This window comes from Homo sapiens, chromosome 7 (genome assembly GCF_000001405.40).
Source record: "Homo sapiens chromosome 7, GRCh38.p14 Primary Assembly".
NCBI classification, from domain to species: Eukaryota; Metazoa; Chordata; class Mammalia; order Primates; family Hominidae; genus Homo; species Homo sapiens.
This window is the reverse complement of record NC_000007.14, coordinates 112,433,221-112,451,785: the sequence shown is the minus strand read 5'-3', so window position 1 is coordinate 112,451,785 and position 18,565 is coordinate 112,433,221. Positions and strand designations below refer to the sequence as shown.

The 18,565-nt window shown below is 42.4% G+C and overlaps 2 protein-coding genes and 1 long non-coding RNA gene across 12 annotated transcripts in view, besides 5 other annotated features; 1 reads left to right on the top strand and 2 right to left on the bottom strand.

The window, feature by feature from the left end:
• Positions 1–18,565, bottom strand: part of IFRD1 (interferon related developmental regulator 1) — a 54,030-nt gene that overhangs the window by 25,418 nt on the left and 10,047 nt on the right. For 2 of the 4 annotated variants that reach the window (NR_120333.1, NM_001007245.3), the window contains one exon: positions 1,004–1,278. The exons of 1 other annotated variant lie outside the window; for it this stretch is intronic. Coding sequence is in view for 2 of the 3 variants with exons in the window: in NM_001007245.3 (NP_001007246.1) it covers positions 1,004–1,097 (94 nt within the window). In the remaining variant the exon portion in view is untranslated. Of the gene's footprint in view, positions 1–1,003; positions 1,327–18,565 lie in introns of those variants that run through there. One more of the 4 variants, NM_001550.4, reaches the window with a different exon arrangement.
• Positions 482–601: an enhancer, noted in NCBI's record as "active region_26513". NCBI's record gives its function as "activates an Ori minimal core promoter by ATAC-STARR-seq in GM12878 lymphoblastoid cells {active_cell/tissue: GM12878}" and the evidence as "EXISTENCE:reporter gene assay evidence [ECO:0000049][PMID:35858748]".
• Positions 601–1,418: an enhancer, noted in NCBI's record as "H3K27ac hESC enhancer chr7:112090423-112091240 (GRCh37/hg19 assembly coordinates)". NCBI's record gives its function as "activates a minimal SCP1, AML or CMV promoter by ChIP-STARR-seq in naive H9 embryonic stem cells {active_cell/tissue: H9 hESC(naive)}" and the evidence as "EXISTENCE:reporter gene assay evidence [ECO:0000049][PMID:30033119]".
• Positions 722–771: an enhancer, noted in NCBI's record as "active region_26512". NCBI's record gives its function as "activates an Ori minimal core promoter by ATAC-STARR-seq in GM12878 lymphoblastoid cells {active_cell/tissue: GM12878}" and the evidence as "EXISTENCE:reporter gene assay evidence [ECO:0000049][PMID:35858748]".
• Positions 1,012–1,301: an enhancer, noted in NCBI's record as "active region_26511". NCBI's record gives its function as "activates an Ori minimal core promoter by ATAC-STARR-seq in GM12878 lymphoblastoid cells {active_cell/tissue: GM12878}" and the evidence as "EXISTENCE:reporter gene assay evidence [ECO:0000049][PMID:35858748]".
• Positions 1,141–1,299, bottom strand: LOC128031837 (uncharacterized). The gene has a single exon (NM_001414739.1). It carries the CDS (start codon positions 1,297–1,299, stop codon positions 1,141–1,143), a length of 159 nt encoding a protein of 52 aa, NP_001401668.1.
• Positions 1,419–2,236: an enhancer, noted in NCBI's record as "H3K27ac hESC enhancer chr7:112089605-112090422 (GRCh37/hg19 assembly coordinates)". NCBI's record gives its function as "activates a minimal SCP1, AML or CMV promoter by ChIP-STARR-seq in naive H9 embryonic stem cells {active_cell/tissue: H9 hESC(naive)}" and the evidence as "EXISTENCE:reporter gene assay evidence [ECO:0000049][PMID:30033119]".
• Positions 6,480–18,565, top strand: part of LOC105375457 (uncharacterized) — a 28,346-nt gene continuing 16,260 nt past the window's right edge. The window contains exons 1-4 of one of the 7 annotated variants that reach the window (XR_927871.1): positions 6,480–6,519; positions 7,106–7,176; positions 10,073–10,268; positions 18,345–18,381. This is a non-coding gene — a long non-coding RNA (uncharacterized LOC105375457). Of the gene's footprint in view, positions 6,520–7,105; positions 7,177–8,435; positions 9,482–10,072; positions 10,269–14,447; positions 14,678–18,325; positions 18,382–18,565 lie in introns of those variants that run through there. The other 6 variants (XR_927874.3, XR_001745327.2, XR_927872.3 and 3 more) reach the window with 6 other exon arrangements.

The window sequence follows — 18,565 nt, the reverse complement described above, 5'->3', positions numbered from 1 at the left end:
TAACTCCTGTTTAAATTTCTAAATAAAATATTACCCAGGTTATTTAATACTCGATTTGAGTTTATTGGGGTCTCTCCTAGAAGGGCCTTCCAATTCCAATTGGAATCCTTTTTCTTAACCATATAATAAGTAGAAAACCATAAGTTCAGTTAAGCACCTACTCATCCCACCCAGGAAAAGTTTCAACTTCGTAGCGAGGGCACAATAACCTCAACTTTTAGCCAACTGCAACCTAAGCTCCTCACCACCCTGCCTCTCTGGGGCTCACTGCAGAGAACATATAGAATGCAGCACAAAGGAGAACGCGTTTCTTCCCCCCGTGAGCAGGAGGTCGCCTCGGGTGGTCGCAGAGGTGCTAGAGGTTCAGGGCTTCTGCAGGTGCCAGTTAGGGGAAGGAGCACAGCCTAGGGGGGAGAAAGTGGTCCCCCCGCCTCCGACGCCTTCGCCTGGCCAGGTGGACCTGCGAGACGGAAAGCTTCCCCAGCGCCTCTGCGTCACCCCGGGCCCACCGCGCAAGGCCCAGGCCGCGTGACGCAAGAGCCCGTCCAAACCCGCCGGACGTCTGGCATCCCAGGAGCTCCATGTTGGAGCCAGGGTGTCAAAGGCGGCCAGTGACGGCACGGGCTCAACTCCCCGTTCTTCCCCACCCGTGGTCGGGGAGAGATCGGGCGAGATCGCCGCCGAGAAAGGAACTCTGACAATGGTTCCTTTCCCGCCCAGCTCCCGGTCAGCCCCTGTCCCGACACACTCTCAGGCCCAAGGACCCGTTCCTCCCTGCCCCCACGGCCGGTGCCCAAGAGTCCGGTTCGCACGCCAGATCTAAATCGCGCGAGGAGCAGCGCCCAGGGCACGCTGGGAATTGTAGTTCAGTAGCCAAACCACGCACCCTGGAAATGCAAATGTGTACATCAGAGAAAGAACTACAACTCCCACCGTGCCGAAGCATGGAAGACTCGCCAGCCTGGCCGGCAACTGGGATGCCGGCGGCGGGGATACCCCTTACCTGCTGTCGCCGCCGTCGCTGCGGCTGCTCCTGACCCGCCGCCGCCAGCACTGCTACCGCGGTGGGGAGTGTTCCGCTTCTTGTTCTTCGGCATCGTGGGACGCCCGGTGCCGCCCAGAGTCGGAGCTTAGCGAGGATCAGCCGATGGAGCTGCACTTTTTACTCGTGCGTCTGTGCGGCGGGCGGCTGAGAGGCGAGTCTTCGGCTAACAACAGAGTCGAGAAGCGGCGGGGGTAAGAGTGGGCGGTGGCGGCAGCAGAAATCCCCGTGAAGAGCTGTGATCGAAAACGATACATGTTTCTCTCTAGCGCGGGAGCTAAGGCGGGGCAGGGGAGGCCACGACGCCTTAAGTAGCAATACCGCCACCTGACGTCACTCTGTGGGCGGGGCTTGAGCGCTTCCCAACCAATCCCTGCACACCTCCCCACTGGACGCCTCCGTCGGGCGGGGCGCGGATCCTACCTACAAATCCCATGCGGCCAGTCTTCCGTCCGCGCCCAGGGAGCCTGTCTTCGTGGCCTCACTGAATTCTGGGAAACGTAGTAAGGCTGGGGCCGGGGCCTCCTCCCAGCCGTCTCTTCCCAACGGGCTTTTCTGCCCACTTGCTTTTCTCCTGGTGACCCCACCCCTGCCTCGGCGCGCCCCCGCCTTGGAACTGGGTGAGGTAGGCACCGGCGATGCACAGTGGGGCGAGTATGCCCTATGACGAGAGTCGGCTTCCAGCTGGCAGCTATGCAATCACCTTTGCTTCTCTTTCTCCGGAGGCTGGTGTTCTCCTTAACCTTTCCCCTACTTCCCTGCGGCACCTGCCAGGCACGCAGCCTTACCTCTCCTGGGTAACATTTCCATGGTTTTAGTTTTAACTAGTTCCATGAACTACTTAAGCCATCATCAGTACTGTACCTGTAATTGGACCGTGGTTCAGGGTTATGTGCCCCCCATCCCCCCCCCCCCCCAAAAAAAGGGATGCTTTCGTCTACTTAGTTGTGGAGTTCGTGTATATCTCAGATTCTAGACTAGGAATATATGACGATTCAGCGTTGTGGGTTTCTATACAAGAATGTGTCCCTTGACAATACTACCTGCCAGTTCTGAGAATTTCACAGCTGGTAAAACAAACACAAGTTATACAGATCAATAATCGCAGTGCTGCCTTTTTTCTCAAGGCACTCCTAGATCTCTGTCTTCCTTGTTAGGACATTTGTCTAGTATTTAGAGCCTGTTATTAGGTTCATATACTATGCTTATGACAGATCAAAGTCCCTGACTCACCTCAATGTAGGTGAGTCATCCGCCACTCCACCTCTCAGCTGAGCTCTATTCTATTTTCAATTGCCTGTAGCAAATTTCCACCAGAATGTTCCACTTGTGCCTCAACCCAACATCTCTGAAACGAATACTATATTTCCTTCTTCCTGTCTTCCCTTTGTTCACTGTACTATTTATTATCCTCCCATATGTTAAATTCCAAAACTCAAATTCATAGTCTTTTTTCCCTTTGATGCACCACCCCCTCCCCACCCGCAAAGCAATTAGTTTTAAAATAGCACTCTTAAATTCCTGTCCTATTCTGTGATCACATGTGACCTCAGTTCATGCCTGGGCATTTTAAGCGATCTCCCAGTCTTTTCATCCATGTTTCATGCACAGTAATGCTGCCAGATTTATTTGTGTGTTCCCTATTTTACTAATCCACCTGCTTTAATAGTTGCTCAAAAACATTCCATGGCTCCCATGACTAACTTTAAATGCCAACCCTTTTAGCCTGGCCCTGACTCCCTTTCCAGCCTCATCTTTCACTGCTTCCTCATACAGTTCTTGTTCTTCAGCCAAACAGGACTGCTTTTCATTTCCAATACACGGCTCTCTTCTCCTACCTCCATTTCCTCATTCATATTCTTTCCTGTTCTTGTAATGCCTTTCCTCCCATCTTCACCTTAAGAAATTTTATCCACCGTTCAAGATGTAGCTCATGCTGCCACCTTCCTGAAGCCTCCAGCCAGAAGTTTCTTCCTCCTCACAACTCTTTGACACTCATCCTAATAATGCCCTAATGGCACTTATTACCTCCCCACACGGCCTACTCAAAGATGCTATTTAATGGGCAACATTTCAGGGTTGCTTTTACTTTGTTTAATCCTGAAGCAGCCAGTAAACTGCACAGAGCACAGAAACCAAATACGGAGGCAGGTTGTGGGGGAGGAAGCAGCTCACACTGACTCCTTGTATCTAGAGGCACACTGCAACTCAGTGACAGGGCCTATACAGAATGAGATGTCTCACAGAATTGTAGACTCAATAACTTTTATAACCCTAGGCTCTTCACCATCCAGAAACAATTTATACTATACATAAGGCAACAGTTTTGCCACTCTGGAGTCACATCACCTAGGCCTAACATCCAGGTTCCAGCCCTGGAAACGTGTGCTTTGCATTTGGGGCAGGGGCTTTTTTTCCAAATCCCTTCACATCCACTTAGTCGTTCTGCGGCAGGCCTGGCCATGGCCCACCACATCATATACGTACTTGTTTTACATTTATTTGTGAATACATCTGTCATCTCATGAAATTATCAGCTTCCCAAGAACAAAAATCTTTTCCTCTTTTTAATTTCTTTTCTTTTTTTCTTACTTTTCTTTCTTTTTTTTTTTTTTTTAAATCTACAGGCCCAGGAACTTGAAAAAATCTTGCTGTATCCCTCATGGCACAAAAGGAAGTGTTACATTTGAAATTGAAATTATAGTCAGTATATATATAGTTAAATGAACATTTAAGAAATAATTGTTGACTAGATTTTTCTGGATCAAGGAAAGGGAGAAACTTATGTATCACTACATACATACATTCTGGATCAAGGAAAGGGAGAAACTACTTATCACTACAAACATGAAGTACAGCCTTCAGTATAATGAATTCTGAGAGATACTGTACTTTTGATAAAATTACCTTACTATAGTTTTATGCCTGCAGTTTAGCTCCAGACCAGTGCAAACATCACAAAGATGTAGCCCACCTCCTCATGGGACAGTGGTCTTCAGCTCCACATACTATTTTGCAATATGTTTAAAGAAATTAGAAGACTCCAAACATCAAGTCACTAAATGATTACAAATACCAGAAAGGAAGGGGAAGCACGAAAGGGAACAGGAAAAAGGGCTTTCTCCAGACTTTGCCTTTTTCTTCAGGAAAGACCACACTCCCTAGAAACTTCCACCTACATGTTGACCAGAACTGTGTCACAGGATGATCCCTAGCTGCAAGGAAGTTTAGAACACAAGTATTTTCGGTTGGGCTCATTCGCAAACAAAATTGAGGTTCTGTTGTTAAGAATGAAGGGGAAACCATGGATATAAGGTAGACAAATAGCAATGTCTGCCTCATATATCAGGAGGCAAAATACTCTCATGCTCTAATAAATAAATATCACATATTTGTTACCAACATGACATTATGTGCTGCCTCAACATTTAAGTCATTGTAAAATATATTCTTCTTTTACAAAACAACTTAGTTTAACATTCCATGGAACAGAAATCACCATCAGGGTAAGTATACTCAAATGTTGCAAAAATAAATCTTACATTAATCAGAATTTAGGGGCACGCCTGAGAAGAGTTCTAAGTTCTCATTGATGACTTTGATTCAAGAACAAGTAATAAAGATAAGATTCAGTATTCATACCTTCCTTGAAGGCATAAACATGAAAGGTTTTCTTTGAATGACTTTAGTCATGGCCTCCTTGGGATTCTCTGCATAGCACTGAGCAGAAATAATACCTCCCAGATCCTCCATGTAGGGCTTGTCGGAATCTGTTTCTTGCCTGTATCTCCCAAATCACTTCTCTCATCACCTAACACAGTCCCTTTCCTAATGCCATATCAAACTCTTAGCAGGTCTCTGAGCTCACCACTCTCAAGCTTCCAGGCCTTACCTAGGTTTGGCACATACCTCTCTCTCCATATTGCATCTCCTGCCCCTCTTTTCATCCACTGCATTTCAGCCACACTGGTCTTTGCCAACTTAAAAACACAAAGTTCATTCCCCACTTAAGACTTGCAACAGCTCCTCCCTCTGCCTGATATGATCAACCCGAGCTTCCCACACTTGCCATTCAGATCTGAGCTTAAATGACACCTACCTGAAGAGGCCTTCCTACTCTCCCACTCTTCCACTCTCCATTCTAAGGTCGCATCCTCACCCCACCTACCACCAGCACCTCCACCCTGCTTATATTCTCCCAAAGTACATCGCACTACTTAATATTTTTTGGCCCAATTATTTTTTGTCTCTTCTACTAGAATGTTAGAATTACAAGAAAGAGATCCTGTCTGTTTTATTCACTATTGTATCTTCAGTACTGGAACAGTACGTGGCACTTAGATATTCAATTATTTTTTACTGAATGTTTACACCACTCCTGAGAAGAATAAGCGTAAGCGAAAGAAGGTGAAGCTGGCTGTCCTGAAATACTGTAAGGTGGATGAGAATGGCAAAATAAGTCGCCTTCATCTAGAGTGCTCTTCAGATGAATGTGGTACTGGAGCGTTTATGGCCAGCCACTTTGACAGACATTATTGTGACAAATGTCTCATTGCTTCAGCAAACCAGAAGACAATTAATTGTGTATGAGTTAATAAAAGACATGAACTAACAAAACACATTTACTGAATGAATAAATGTATTAATAATTAAATGTCACTCCTCTGCCTAGAACATCCTTCCCCACGATCTCCCCATCATCCTTTAAGTTACTGATCCTCGGTCACTAATCCTGGGCCCCCCAAATTGTCTGATTTAAATGTCTTTCTTTTTTGTTCTTGCAGTGCCTTCTTTAGACTAGCATTAATTATATGTATTGTAGGGTTTTTTTACTTCTTTTTTTTTAATATGTATTGTAGTTCTTGATTACTTGTCTGTTTTCCCCTCAGACATGAGATACAAGCTACATGCTACTTGTGGGCAAAGCCCAGTTTTGTCACTTCTGAAACACACATGTAGCACCTTTGTGCAAATTAGAAACAGAACACCAAGTCTGATGAGTGTTTATGGGCTGGAATCCAGTCACCAATCTCTCTTCAGCAGGGAACAACCTATACATCTGTACATAGTGGCCCAGTAGACAATAACTGTGTTTTTAATTGAATGAGGGAGTCAATTTCCTCTGTATTTTAGCAGTTTTCTTAAAAGCAAAGGAACTAATGTGGGGAAAAGGATGAGGCTAACATTTATTGCAAGTCCACACTGCCACTGTTCTAGACTGTTTTCACACCTCTCATGTAATTCTTACAACAACCCTACGCAGAAAAGATTAGTTTTACCATTTTGTGGATGAAGAAATGAGCTTAGAGAGGTTTTGCAACTTCCCCAAGGTCGTACCATTGGTAAACAGTGCGTCTGTTGTGATGAAAGCCTAGGCCGGCCGGGCGGGGTAACTCACACCTGTAATCCTAGCACTCTGGGAGGCCAAGGTGGGCGGATCACAAGGTCAGGAGATCGAGACCATCCTGGCTAACACGGTGAAACCCCGTCTCTACTAAAAATATAAAAAATTAGCCGGGCGTGGTGGCGGGCGCCTGTAGTCCCAGCTACTCGGGAGGCTGAGGCAGGAGAATGGCATGAACTCGGGAAGCGGAGCTTGCAGTGAGCCGAGATTGCGCCACTGCACTCCAGCCTGGGTGACAGAGCGAGACCCTGTTTCAAAAAAAAAAAAAAAAAAAAAAGAAAGCCTAGGCCTATCTGATTCCAAGTTTGCCTCTGGCTGGCTTTGGTCATATGGGAACCTGAGTGCTTGTTCCTAGGAGTCATGGGTTTTCTTGTTTGCTTTTTTATAATTTCAACTTTTAGATTCAGGGTATAATGTACAGGTTTGTTACATGGTTATATTGCATGATGCTGAGGTTTGGGATATGAATGATCCCGTCACCTAGGTAGTGAGCATAGCACCCAGTAGTTTTTCAACTCTTTCCCCCTCCATCCCTCCCGCCTCTAGTAGTCCCCAGTGTCACTGTTGCTTTTTTATGTCCAGAGTCATGGGTTTTATTTGCAATGCTGCGAGAAAAGGCCCCTTGAAGTTAAATTTTGCCTTGTTCCCCTTTTTTTTAGAGTCTCTTCACCCCTAGTATCAGTATACAGGGGACATTCAGTTGTTGACTGCCTGATGAATGTTTGCCAGTGTAAGTTTTTTCTGATATTTCTAAAGCTTTAGCAGAACTTTATTATTAAATAGTAATGTTATTCCATCAAATAATTTTTTACATGGATTATCACTTGTTGTGTTTTAGATTGCATTGTTTTCTTAATATGTTTGCAATTTTTGTTTTATTGCCAAGAATGGTGATAATACAGCATGCTAAATTTGAGATCCCTGTTTGTTAAGAAATGATTCGGCGGGCAAATTTAGTTAGAACTCTTTAAGCCTTAAGATATATTTTGTTTGCTTTTTTCTTTTTGTTGTGTAGAAGATACTTCTTTGTGGTTTTCAGTTTTGAAATTACATACACTTTCTGTAATGAAATTTCTGACAAAAGACAGTCAGTGTTTAATTGTCTTCTAAAATGGGAATGTTGCTTATCTCACAAAGCTGCAGTATTATCAATAATAAAATATGAGACTGTGTTAACAGGGTACTGTGAGCCATAAGTACCATAATACACACAGCCAAACTAGGATAGTTATGACGCATTATGTTGGAAGAACTTTTTATGGCAACAGCGTAAGTAGGAATTATCTTTTTGTTGAACATAAAGAATATCAGTGGACTTTTCCATTTGGATATCCTGACTCTTCATACCAAACATAACCAAAATCAACTTGTTCTTTACCAACCTCTCTACATTCTACAACTAGTTTTGTTTTTTTGTTTTTGTTTTTGTTTTTTTGGTGGGGGATGGTGTTTGTTTTTTGGGTTTTTTTTTTTTTTTGAAACAGAGTTTCACTCTTGTCACCCAGGCTAGAGTGCCATGGTGCGATCTCGGTTCACTGCAACCTCCACCTCCCGGGTTCAAGCAATTCTCCTGCCAAAGCCTCCCGAGGGATTACAGGCGTTCACCACCATGCCTGGCTAATTTATGTATTTTTAGTAAAGACGGGGTTCATCATGTTGGCCAGGCTGGTCTCGAACTCCTGACAAGTGGTCCACACACCTCGACCTCCCAAAGTGCTGGGATTACAGGCATGAGCCACCACACTCGGCCGTTTTTGGGGGGCTTTTTTTGAGATGGGTCTCCCTCTGTCATCCAGGCTGGAGTACAGTGGTGCCATCACAGCTCACTGCAGCCTTGACCTCCTGGGCTCAAGCAATCCTCCCGTCTCAGCCTCCTGAGTAGCTGGGATACAGACGCATGTATCCCAGCTAATTTACTTATTTATGTTTGTAGAAATGAGGTCTTGCTGTGTTGCCTAGGCTGGTCTCAAACTCCTGGGCTCAAGCAGTCCTCCCAAAGTGCTGGGATTACAGGCATGAACCACCACACCCAGTCTACAACCAGTTCTTGTTCCCAGCTTTCTCCGTGTGGTAGTACTAATCTTACGGCCAACCACCAGAGAATCTTAAATAGTTGAAAATTTCTTAAGGGGTAACCTACTTCAGACTCCTGCCTCACCTGGGAAACGACTGACAACATGATTAAGATCCAAGGCTCTAACTCAGTATTCCAGGGTTCAAATCCTGGCCATACTATTTGCAATGGATTCTTGAGCAAGTAACTTCACTCTTCCATGCCTTGGTTTCAATGTGATTAATGATAGAACCTATTTCATGTGGTTGGAATGAGGAATACATGAAACAATACAAGTAAAGTACTTAGCTCAGTACTCAGCACATAGTAAACAATGTTAGCCATTAATATTAGTCAACAGATATTTATCATTTTTTCTTAAACTCTGACAGTGCTAGAACTCACACAACTCTTCAGGGAAGCTCATTCCAACAGTGGATATTTGTCATATTTTGAAAAGTCTCAATTCCTTCAACAAATATTCCTCAGGTGTCCACTATATACCAAGCATGTTCTAGAGCATGAGAACAAAGAGATGACTGAAAACAGTGTTTGTCCTCATAAAGTCCCTAGTCCAGCAACAGAACTCAGTACCAGGTGGCCCGTGGCTGTCCGTCCCTCTCAGCCCATTTGGAGGTGACTCTTGCTTCTCTCTTGATGGATCAGCTTTCACTGCCCACCCCCAGGGACATGACCAAAGAGGTTCCTCCTCTCTACCCCTAAGCGGTGAGTCCATAGGCTCCCTGGAGAGTTCAGTCATCTCTTCTGGAGCAAGTCACCTAGCAGCAGTGAACCTCCATTTCTTTATCTCAAAAATGGGAGTCAATAATCCCTGCCTTATTGATGTCACTGGATTGTCATAAAAATGACATCATTATGTAAAGGTCTTTGTAACCTGCCACGTACTCTATAATGATGAGATACTCCTTATATTAAACCAAAGAAAGAAATGACTCTGCTAAAGATGGAATTTTAGACATCAGTAAGCAAGGGAAGATCTTTTGGCTGGGAGCTGATAAAGTGGTTAACAGGAGAAATTTACTAAGCCCCAGATCAGACTTATAAGGACAAGACTAGACTGACTCAACCAGGCCTCCAGCATTGCTCCTAAAAATCTTATTGGAGGCCATATACTGTGCTGGAGGGTCACCGAGTTTTAGATCCAGACAGACAGAACTAGAGTCAAAATGCCTTATCAACCACTTACTAGTTTGGTGACTGTGTGCAAGTTCCTTAATCTAAGCTATATGAATGAGGAATGTATGAAACAGTACATGTTAGCCATTAATATTAGTAAGCAGATATTTATCCATTTTTTTCTTAAATTCTGCGAGTGCTAGGAATCACACAACTCTTCAGGGCCGCTAGTTTCAACACTGGATAGTCATCATTTTTGGAAAAGTCTCAGTTCCTTCAACAAACATTCCTCAGGTGTCCACTATATACTAAGCATGTTCTAGAGCATGAGACAAAGGGATGCCTGAAAATAGAGTATTTGGCCTCATAAAGTTCCTAGTCTAGCACGAGAGCTCAGCATTATTTGTAAATCAGATTCTCTCTCCTTGGAATTCAGAATTAGAACTGAGAGACACTCAAAGATTCTGGACTGTCTTCTGAGCAGAGAATAAAAAGTAGCTATCATCTGCCCACCACAGACATGAAAAAACAAGAAAGACAGTTTGCAGAGAGGAGAGAATGAAACAGGACTGTAGAGAGAAGCAGAGACAAGAAATGGATCTTCCCATCTCGTCATGAGCTTCCACTTCCAGGTAGGCAGAACTACCAGAGACTCAATTGAATTCCTGCCTTAGGCTTCCAGGGAACATCCTGAACTTTTTTTTTTTTTCTGAGATGGTGTCTTGCCTCTCACCCAGACTGGAGTGTAGTGGTGCGATCACAGCTCACTGAGGTCAGGTAACCCTCCCACCACAGCCTCCAAAGCCGCTGGGACTACAGGTGTGCACCACCATGCTCGGCTAATTTTTGTTTTTGTTTTTGTTTTTGTTTTTTTTAAGACAGGATCTCACTCTATTGCCCAGGCTGGAGTGCAGTGGCGTGGTGTTGGCTCACTGCAACCTCCGTCTCCCAGGTTCAAGCAGTTCTTCTGCCTCAGCCTCCCAAGTAGCTGGGATTACAGGCGCACACCACGAACGCCCAGCTAATTTTTGTGTTTTTCGTAAAGACAGGGTTTCACCATGTTGGCCAGGACGGTCTCAAATCTCTTGACCTCATGATCCACCCTCCTCAGCCTCCCACCAAAGTGTTGGGATTACAGGTGTGAGCCACCCTGCCTAGCCTAATTTTTGTATTTTTTGTAGAGACGGGGTTTTGCCATGTTTCCAAGGCTGGTCTGGAACTCCTGGACTCACACAGTCCGCCCACCTTGGCGTCCCAAAGTACTGGGATTACAGGGGTGAGCCATTGCACCCAGCCTGAACTTTTAAAATAAATTGTTTCTTATGCTCAAGTTAGGTCCAGTCAGTTTTTATTTCTTGCAAACTAGGATAGTTTACAGTTTCTCCTTAGCACTCCTCTGTTTTTTTGATTAGTGTCTCTTGGAGTTCCAGAAAACTGTCCAGGCATTTGCAAGTGGGACTTTAAAAGCCTATCTTTTACACTCAGATGAAAGGCAGTAGGAAGTAGGAACAGATTCTCTAACACTTTGGAGGCATGTTAGCACCTTTCTAAATTATGGAGAATGAGTGAACTGCCAAATTTCATTCATCATTACTGATATTTATTGTGAACCAATCCAGCCAAAAGAATTCTGAACAGACACTTTAAAAACCTATGCCAAACTGAATTGACCGTACCAGGCTTATCACATTTAAATATTTATTTAAAATAGTCTTTAAATTATAATTATGTTAATTGTTTTATTAAAATCAAGAGAGAAAACTAACCATTTATCAAACTGCTGAGACTGCTAAAAGATTTATCAGCCTTATATAAATAAGACACACTTAGTAAATATTTTCATTCCATTCAAGAAAGGCTTTTGTGACCGAGTGCCGTGGCTCACACCTGTAATCCCAGCATTTTGGGAGGCCAAGGCAGACAGATCACTTGAGGTCAGGAGTTCGAGACTAGCCTAGCCAACATTGGGAAACCCCATCTCTACTAAAAATACAAAATTAGCTTGGCATGGTGGCGAACGCCTGTAGTCCCAGCTACTCTGGAGGCTGAGGCAGGAGAATTTCTTGAACCCAGGAGGCAGAGGTTGCAGTGAGCCGAGATTGCACCACTGCACTCCAGCCTAGGTGACAGAGCAAGACTGCATCTCAAAAAAAAAAAAATGGCTTTTGAAATTAATTTGTTGCAGACATCATTGATTTCCTGCCGCAGATCCATCTTACTCTCTTGCTTATTCTCAGAACCCCAATTTTGTTCAGATATCCAACCTCCTTCGAGGGGCCATGTGCTTCAGGGGAAGGCTGGACCCCAGCTCCAGGGGTTGGGTCATAATCGATTCCTCTTTTAATTGATTCCTCTTATAATTGATTCCTCTTATAAATGGTTTATTCTTGGGCACAGAACACAGCTCTAGCCAGTGAGGTGTAAGAGTTGAGGGCTTGAGGGAAAGATTTCTCCTTCCCAAGAGAAATACAAATGAACAGATGGTCTTGTCTTTTTCTGGATGTTGTCATTTGTGAGCATAAAGGCAAACAAAGCTAACTACCAAGAATAGCAAAAGAGAAGGGTTAAAGAACATAGATGAGGTTTTTGAGTCACTGAATTAACCAACAGGCACCACCTACCATCCCCTACCCCTAGACCACTTATGTGATTATAATAAATGCTTTTAATATTTTAAAAAAATTAAACTTGAGATTTCTGTGGCTTGGGGCTGAAAGCATCTCAACTGATACTGTTACATCTAACAATCTCTTTAAAATGATGATACCATTTGGCAATTTCTAACAGTCTTATATGCATTCAGAAATAAGTAAAAATAATCCCCGAACTATCCCCCTACTTCCCTTAAAAGTCCCATATGTTCCAAGAAAGAAAATGTCTTTGAAATCCTCACTCTTGTCACCTGCTGTTTTGTACATACAATGTACGAACATAGGGCCCTGCCCACTTCATTCCGCCTCCACAGAATTCTGTCCAAGGACACCCTGTTAAAACTGTATTTGGAGAATTTCCTTCCTTCTATGCCCACTATTATTGTGTATGACTGCTTTTTGGGCTTTTTTCACTCTCTTGTTCTTTACCCATCTTTGGCTTCCAGATTAAGAGTTTTCATTTCCCTTAATGGTCCTTAATAGGGTTGTTTGTTACTGTTCTTGTTGTTGTTGTTGTTGTTATTAATTGGCATCAGAACTTTTTTTAACCGAAACATCTTTCAACGGGAGGAATCCATTTTTCTGTCAACGGTATCCCAGGTGGCTAACTTTCATTATGCTCAGGTCAATGATTCATGAATGGTAGTTTTCCTTCTAAACAAGTGTTGCCATGATGGGTGAGTAATGGTACCTTTGCTATATTCCAAAAACTGAGGGAATAAAACAGACTCCACCCACATGATAATAGGGTTAATTTGACTCTACATATATAGATTGAAGGTTGTTTATTTGTTGGCTTGATTTCCACAGCCTCGTCTTTTTTGGCGAAGGAGGTATCTTCTAGTCTCAAGTTATTTCTATTCACGCATCCATTCAAACAAATTTGCCTTTGTCTCCAGGTTCTGTTTCTTATGATAAATTTTTGGAAACCCTAGGCTGATCAAGGAACTCTCAAAATAGGAAGTGAACCAACAACATTTATACTTATAGCTCTTTATGTGCTTAAGGCAACATTCAGGAATATTCTTTCCCTACCCTTGTTCTCTCAAACTCTGCCTCTTTACCTTGATCTACCTCTCTCCTCACCCCCTGTATTTTTCTCCTCAAAGGTATGCACAATGCTTCAGTGCCATTTTCATAGCCCTATAAGCTAGAAAACCTGCCTACACGTTTGCTTTTAAATGAGGTAGTACACTTTGCCAGCTTCACTATTTTCTTTCTTGTGCTGTTATTACTTTTTTACCCAAAAATTTGGCCCCTTTTTTTATGAAATCAGTAGTAATGATTTAACACTTAGAGAGATACAAGCAATTAAGTAATGTATTCTTTTGAAGCTCTTCAAAGATGACATTCAATAAAATCCCTAGCTTTGATATTTATCCCAAACTCCAGAACCCCATATCTAATCACTGTCTTCTTCATTTACTATCCCACAGACTGGTCATATTTAGCAAATGAAAAACATATCCACTCTACCCCTACGCCACTCTTTACCTGTTTCTTCTTTGGCATTATGCATCATGGTTAATGGCTCTACTATCCATCTCAATATGCAAACCAGAAACCTAACCTCATTCAGCATGCTAAACCATTTCACATCTAAAATATGTCTAGACCCTGTCCTTTCCTCTCCTTCCTACTGAAACTACCAAGTATTACTTAGCCTCTTAGTTCACTGTCCCACCTCCAGTTTTGCCCAGCTCTAAGCTATCAGAATGATCTTCCTTATCCCATCCATAATCCCATTACCATCTCCATGAAGACTTTCCAGCCCCCACTTTCATCCCTGCAGAATGGATTGCCTTATCTAGTGTGGCCCCTAGTGCTCTGGAGGGATTTCCATTATGGGGAAGTAGCATAGCCCTTAGTGATTAAAAGGTACATTTTCTGAAGTCAGACCATTAGGATTTGAACCCTGGCTTTACCACTTATCAGCTGCAAGTTACCAAATCTCTGTTCCTCAGTTTCCTCTTCTATAAAATAGCACTAATCAGTAGTACTTCTTGGGGTGGATGGGATAATTAAGATAATACATGCTGGCACTTAGCACATGCCTGGCACATGGTATTGATATACATCCAATAAGCTATCATCATCATCATTATTATAGAAAATCTATGACTTTCACTGCACTAACTTGTTTATATTTTTCTTTACTAGGCTTTGAGTTCCTTGTATCTAATTCATCTTTGTAACCCAGCACCTAGCACTGGCCTGAAAAGTAGGAGACACTCCATACATATTTTTTGATTGAATCATCAGGTTACTGCTTGGCTTATAACTCCTCACTGGCTCCTGATTGCCTGCGGAATAAGATTCACACTGTTTCAGCCTGGGCAACATAGTGATACTCCATTTCTACAAAAACATTAAAAAATTAGCTGGGTATTAGCTGGGTCACACACCTGTTGTCCCAACTACTTGGGAGGCTGTGGTGAGAGGATTGTTTGGTGGGCCCTAGAGGTTGAGAGAGACCCTGTCTCAAAAAAACAAACAAACAAAAAAAACTGTTCTCTTTAGCCTGATTTATGCACCTATTCAGCTTAATCTCCTATACTCTAAGCAAGATTGCTTGCAGCTCCCTGGACATTTCCTTCAATCAGGAATGTCCTTCCAGGCCCTTTCCCCAAACTTGGTGAACATTTTTTGATATATAAGACCTTAATCAAGTATCTTTTCCTTTAAAATCTTTCCTGACCCTTTTATAGGTGGCCAGCAAGTCTAGAAACATAGGCACATATATAATAAATGGTTTGTTGGTTGTATACTATAATACACAATGAAATAATAATATTTGCATTGCCTGATTTCATGGCCACCCTCTAGCTAGAACTGATCCCTCCTCCTCCTTCATGCTATTAGCCCCTTTTATGAAGACCTGATTAGCTGGGACAGAACATAGCACACAGAGGTTCTGCTTTATTCATCTTTGTATCTCAACCACCGAGCCCCATGATTGGCACAGACAGGCACTCAACAAATATTTGTTGAATTAATAAAACGTCAGTAAATATTTATGGATCATCATTGTATAGGCCAAGAAAAACTGCCACCCATTTAATCATTGATAGTGAATATCCCTAATCCCCCTACATTCATTTTCATCACTGCTGCTCTGGGTGTTCAATGAAGCAAAATACTTGGCATGTGTCTTGGTGATCTCATTTTGCATTTGTTGCAGTCAGCTTTCATTCATAGTTAAAACGTGTTCCTTGAACAAATATTTTCATTTTTAAAAAGAAAATTTTAAGGAAAAGTATCTGCTTTAATCAGTCAACATTATTTGAAATTCTTTTCCTTTAAGAAGAAAAATATTCGGACTGGCACGGTGGCTCACGCCTGTAATCCTAGCACTTTGGGAGGCCAAAGTGGGCAGATACCTGAGGTCAGGAGTTTGAGACCAGCCTGGCCAACATGGTGAAATCCCATCCCTACTAAAAATACAAAAATTAGCCAGACATGGTGGCGCACGCCTGTAATCCCAGCTACTTGGGAGGCTGAGGCAAGAGAATCACTTGAACCCAGGAGGCAGAGGTTGCAGTGAGCTGAGATCATGCCATTGCACTCCAGCCTGGGCAACAGAGCAAGACTCTGTTCAAAAAACAAAAACAAAAAAAAAAAAGAGAGAAAAAAGAAAAATATTGATAGATTAATAGGCATATAAAATATTTCAAAATTAATGATATATTGAAGTATGAATGTTGAATGTTCATTTTAGTAAGAGCCAACTAAAACCTGACCAGATAAATATATTTCTGTTAAGATCAACTTGAATTTATACTGGCTGTTGGAGCTCATGTATGGGGTTGCAGTCAGAGTATGTGGCATTTTTTACAAGCACGCACACACACACACACACACACACACACACACACACCTGTAGCAGATTCCTCTGGCTCAGTTTTGGACTGATAAAATCCAAGTCAGTCTCCTCTCAGCAAATTCTCCAGTGAAATAATATCCCTTAAAGATGACATTCAGCTAGAAAAATAAATGTTTAACATGACAGTTTCATGACATAGTCTGTGAAATTGAAGACAGCCCCTGGCTAATGATGATACCCACGTTGTCAGATCCATGTTTTGCAGTCAAACACTTAATGATCTAATAAGGGAACCATTTAGAGGTTCTCTCTGCTTTAATAATGACTCATTGTCCTGGGAATCTTCACTGTCTGTGAGAATAAGCCCTGGAGTGCCTCACAATTTGATGGTCACTATGACAACTCTGAAGCTTTCAGAGATGCTCTGGTTCTGTCCGCGGGTGGTTTTGTGTTGATCTGATTTTGAAGGAGTGTTGCAGTGGAGAGGTAATACCGCCATCACTTATTGAAATCTAAAGTAAAATTATTGCCGTCCAATAAAATATTACTCTGTTCACCATTAATCCAACCTATAAAAGGCATCTTGCATCATGAGGATAATATTTAGTCATAGCACAATAGCATCCAAGGCTAGGAGTGCCAAGTTGGCATTTGAAACCTCTCAGAAGAAGTTTTTAAATGATATAGGGTGATCAAAAAAATAACTGAACACTTCCAAAATGTATTTGTCAGTAACCAGGTAATTCAGAATCATGTATGAGCCAAACTGTGAGTGACCTTTTCAATGTCTATGGAAAGTGTTAGGTTGTGATCATGTTTATATTAATATTTGTATGTGTTCAATTCTTTTTGAATCATTCTGTACAATAGTATGAGTGTGATATTAGTATAATCTGAGGTCCAAACATCCCACAAAATGGGATTTAGATGGTCTTTGAAACCCCTGAAGTTATATGCAAAAATATTGTGTAGTTGAAAGTTAAAGTTATTTAATTTTATCCCATATTATAATTTGTCTTTATGTAATAACATGGAATTGATAAAAATTTTCATTAACAAATTTTACAATGATGTAATTACTTAATTGCTAAGTTAATCTTAAATTTAATTTAGAGTTTAATAAACTTCTACAGTTTTTAAAGTATATAGTAGACATATTAAAAATGTGTTATCATATTAGGTACAGTATATAACCCTGGCTGTTGTGGCACCATTATCATCATTCCTGCTGTGGGATCCAGGGCCATTGCTAGCCCACAGAAAAATCTTTCCAATTCATACAAATTTTAAGAAGGCTCCTAAATGCCCTTCTTTTGGTGGGAATGAGTCAGTCCTGCAGTGAGAAGCATCATTTAGTATATAGGCTTCATTTCAAACTCTTTTCATGCTCTCAGCTTGGTACCTATGTTCAGTGCACAAAATAAAGAACTATACACAGCAGCCCCACGGGGACCTCAATGAAAATGAGAATAGACTATGACTCTTCAATACTTTTACTAATTAAAATACCTCGAACAGAGAGCAAGACATGCTCATCAATTAAAAAATAAGACAGTCAGGCACAGTAGCTCACACCTGTAATCCTAGCACTTTGGGACGCCAAAGCAGGCTAATCACTTTGAGCTCAGGAGTTCGAGACCAGCCTGGGCAACACGGCGAAACCCTGTCTCTAAAAAAAAAATACAAAAATTAGCTGGGCGTGGTGGCTCACGCCTGTGGTCCCCGCTACTCAGGAGGCTGAAGTGGGAGGATAGCTTGAGCTGGGAAGTGAATGTTGCAGTGAGCCAAGATCACGCCACTGCACTCCAGCCTGGGCGGCCTAGCGAGACTCTGTCTCAAAAAAAAGAAATTATATTTAGTTGTGAAACTGCCTTTACAAAAATTATAACTGAGAAAATTATGACAGTGAAAGATCTGACCTGACTCCATCTTGCTTCTAACCTCCAAGCTGTCCTTGTTAATTCCTGGGTATAGGCAGAACTAACTTTGGGAGGAACTTAGTTTATAGTTTAACTTTGAAACAGAGGATGATAACAGCCCTTTCCTAAAACAAAACCCCTTTCTGCCTGGGGACTAGATTGCCCTTGCAGGATTAACAAATTAGCCACAAGATTAGAAACTGTGGTTTAGGAGTATGCAGCTGCAGGCTACAAGATTCTGAACCTCCCCAAATTGCTCCTGGAGATAACAACACTGTTGTAAAACCTAAAAGCAGTGCTTGAGGTATTTTGCAGACCCTGTACTCAGTGGATCAGCTGGCACCACGCAGATGGATAAACTGGCTCATCTGGTCTTCTGGCCCCACCCAGGAACTGATTCAGCACAAGAGGACAGCTTCACCTTCCTATGATTTCATCTGTGACCCCACCAATCAGCACACCCCACTTTCCAACCCACTACTCACCAAATTGTCCTTAAAAACCCTGATCCCTGAGTTTTTGGGGAGACTGATTTG

Coding starts and splice junctions, on each gene's coding strand:
- LOC128031837 (NM_001414739.1), bottom strand. CDS start 1,299: ATGTATCGTTTTCGATCACAGCTCTTCACGGGGATTTCTGCTGCCGCC.